A 3,633-nucleotide genomic window follows, 5' to 3' on the forward strand; every position below is an offset into this window, starting at 1 on the left:
TTTTTACTTTTTAGATAACATACAGAAATAGAACCTCTGATCATTTTTGATGACCTTCAAAAAAATATTTGCTTTCCCAAAGCCTGCTTTCTCATCTGTAGAGATAATAATGGCCCAACTTCACATCATTGTTGTGAAATTTAAAAAATAATGTCAGTGAATTACTTACTGCAATAAGAGTGCAATCAAAGTTAAGTCATTATGAGGTCAACGTTGTAAATTTTATTTATATTTACCTGCTTGTTTTACAAAATGGAGCCATACTTCCTATGCTGTTTGCTACCTTGCCTTCTTTTTTAAAAAATGTAACAGCATATGGTGACATTAGTATATAATCATCAGTGTCATTTATAATAATTGCCATATATTTTGCTGTGTGGATTTTTGATAGTTATTAAACAAAACCCCTATTGATGGGCATTTTGGTTGTTTGAATCTTTCCCATTCTTACAGGTTTAGGAGACCTTTAATTATGTTTTAGGGTAAATTCCTACCCAGGGGAACCTTTTCTTCCTACCCCACCCTGGCGTTTCTGGCTCCTCCACTCTGGGAAGGCACAGAAGGTTTGTTTGAAATTGACAAAGAAATCTAGGCTGGGGACTGTGGGGTGTGGAGGTGGGGGCAGGGGATGGGACTTGGGGATTTTGCTGGTGGCCCAGGTAAAATCAGATAAGGAGGCCGATTATGCATGCTGATAGAGGCCCAGATAGCCACCGGTTTACAAAATCCTTCTTGCAGATCGTTTTAAAGATGCCCTTCTTTTGTGATTTTAATATGTCCTGACTCCACCCACCACTGAAGCTATTCCCAGGTTGATACCTGCGAAGAGCCAGAGAACCAGTGCCCATCTCTTTATCTCTTTCTCTCTGGTTTTCATTCCTCGTCTATTTTCATTCCACCAAATAGGTTTGGTTTTTAAGCTTTTCCTCAGGAAAATGAAATACAAGATGCAGATTTTTTTTTTTTTTTTTTTTTTTTTTTTTGAGACAGAGTCTCGCGTCTCGCTCTGTCACCCAGGCTGGAGTATAATGGTGCGACCTCGGCTTAACTGCAACCTCCGCTTCCCAGGTTCAAGTGATTCTCCTGCCTCAGCCTCCCGAATAGCTGGGATTACAAGCGCCTGCCACCATGCCCAGCTAATTTTTGTATTTTTTAGTAGAGATGGGGTTTCACCATGTTGGCCAGGCTGGTCTTGAACTCCTGACCTCAAGTGATCCACTTGCCTCGGCCTCCCAAGGTGCTGGGATTACAGGCATGAGCCACCACGCCTGGCCAAGATGCAGATTTTTTGTTGTTTGGATGCAAAAGCACAGCTTTGGGGAAAAAAAAAACCCAAAAAACTGATGGAGGCACTTTCTTAAGCAGATTGGAGGCCCTGCACCCTGCTAGGGGCTGGGTCCCCACCCTGGAAGCCTATATTTAGATATCTGAGAGTGAAACAGGAGGGAAAGAAACAAAATGAAGAAAACTTCTGTAAGCCTCAGTTTCCTCGTGCAAAATGTGGACGTTAATAGTATCTCCTTACCTCGGGGTCACCACGGTATTGGATAAAATAATGCCAGTAAAAGGTGTCCCAGTATCAGAGAAGATGGCCATTACTCAAAGGCTTGCTCTAGCAAATGTCAAGCTACAGACAGAAATCAGCGCTCTCAAGGAGAGCTTGAGGGTGAGATTTTGGTCTAGATTTGGGCATGGCAGTGGCAGTCGGGAGAGGCTTCCCTGGGGAGGCAGCCAGGCCTGCAAACGGTGTTTATCGTTCTCTCCATCTGGCATTAGGGCCAGAGCACTACTGTCTCTCTGTTCCCCCAACACGACGCGCTGCCAGCACCCACACTGCTGCAGAGCCTTAGCACAGGCTGCTTGCTCCGCTGGATCACACCCAAACCATGGCCTGGCTGGCTCCTTGTTGACTTTCAATTCTGAGATGAATGATCATCTCCCTGGAAAAGGCTCTGCCACTCTCCAATGACCCAGCTCTGGTTTATCTTCACCGTGCTGATCGCCCCTGCAATCTGTTTGCTTTCAGCTCTTGGACCTGTTCTTCCCTACCCACCCAGGTGCGCTTGGTGCTGTGTGCACAGTAGGTGCTCGGTCAATATTTGTCCAGGGCATAACACGCCTTCCAGCAGTGTGGCTCCAGCTCCGAGGGCATATTCATCATCGGGGGATCTTGTTAGAATCAAGGGTCCAGTTCAGTAGGTCTGGAGTGGGGCCCAGGAGTCTAAGTGTCTGAGAAGCTTCCAGGTATTGTGATGCTGCAGGTAGGTGGGCCGTGCTTTGGGGTTCAAGAGTGTGTGAATGGGACAGCTGCGACCTGGGGCGTCAACAGAGGGAGGGGCTGGTTGAAACAGGGAGGGGCTTCATTGAGGAGGAGACCCTGATATTTAAGTAATGGAATTTGTCTCCCCCACCCCCACCCCCACCCCCACCATCCCTTCATCCCTGCTGCCATTATTTCTCAGCCACGTTATTTTTTTTTTTTGAGACACAGTCTCGCTCTGTCGCCCAGCCTGGAGTGCCATGGCGCGATCTTGGCTCACTGCAACCTCTGCCTCCTGCGTTCAAGTGATTATCCCGTCTCAGCCTCCGGAGTAGCTGGGATTACAGGCATACACCACCACACCCGGCTAATTTTTGTATTTTTGGTAGAGACGGGGTTTCACCGTGTTGGCCAGGCTGGTCTCGAACTCCTGACCCCAAGTGACCCACCTGCCATGGTCCCCCAAAGTGCTGGGATTGCAGGCGTGAACCACCGCGCCTGGCCTCTCAGCCACATTATTGATCTGCTCATCATGTCCTCCTTCCCCCCGATCATTGTCCCCAAGCTAACCTGAGCTTCCTAAAGCCCACAGAGAGCTTGCCATGGCCTCGGGAACACTCAGACTCTTGCCTACTCCTCCAGCCTGGCGCTAAAGAGGCACCCCCCACAAAAAATTTGCTGAATAAAGGACTGAGTGATGTCATTGGGCCACAATTGACTCCTGGGGCTCTCTTGTCCCTTCAACTCCACCTCTCATCTGCATGTGTGAACCTCCCAGTTGGACTGGAAAAAGGTTTAGCTCCTCTCTTTATCCTGCAAGGAAGCTCTGCAGGAAACTCTCCAAGAGGACAATAAGCCCCCTTGCCTTTGCAAAAACATTTTAATACCTGTTATTTTCAGCTGAGTCCCGCACAGATCGGCAGCACCGGTTTTGAAGGCCACGTGTACTCCAGGTAAGGAGGATGCAGGTGCAGGGGCCAACTGCCTGTGCTTGTTCCCTTACACACTTGTTGTTTTAACTTCTTTGTGCTTCGATTTTCCCATCTGTGTAATGGGGATAATAAAATGTACCTCCAGGCCGGGCGTGGTGGCTCAAGCCTATAATCCCAGCACTTTGGGAGGTCGAGGCAGGAGGATCACCTGAGGTCAGGAGTTAGGGGACAGACTGGCCAATATGGCGAAACCCCGTCTCTACTAAAAATACAAAAATTAGCCAGGCGTGGTGGCTCATGCCTGTAATCCCAGCTACTCAGGAGGCTGAGGCAGGAGAATCACTTGAACTTGGGAGGCGGACGTTGCAGTGAGCCGAGATCGTGCCACTGCACTCCAGCCTGGGTGACAGAGCGAGACTGTCTCAAAAAATCAAAAAATAA

At 48.3% G+C, this 3,633-nt stretch overlaps 1 annotated feature.

Moving 5' to 3' along the window:
• Positions 2,630-3,268: an enhancer, noted in NCBI's record as "OCT4-NANOG-H3K27ac-H3K4me1 hESC enhancer chr20:55311142-55311780 (GRCh37/hg19 assembly coordinates)". NCBI's record gives its function as "activates a minimal SCP1, AML or CMV promoter by ChIP-STARR-seq in naive H9 embryonic stem cells {active_cell/tissue: H9 hESC(naive)}" and the evidence as "EXISTENCE:reporter gene assay evidence [ECO:0000049][PMID:30033119]".

The sequence above is a fragment of the Homo sapiens genome, chromosome 20 (assembly GCF_000001405.40).
Source record: "Homo sapiens chromosome 20, GRCh38.p14 Primary Assembly".
Classification (NCBI taxonomy): domain Eukaryota; kingdom Metazoa; phylum Chordata; class Mammalia; order Primates; family Hominidae; genus Homo; species Homo sapiens.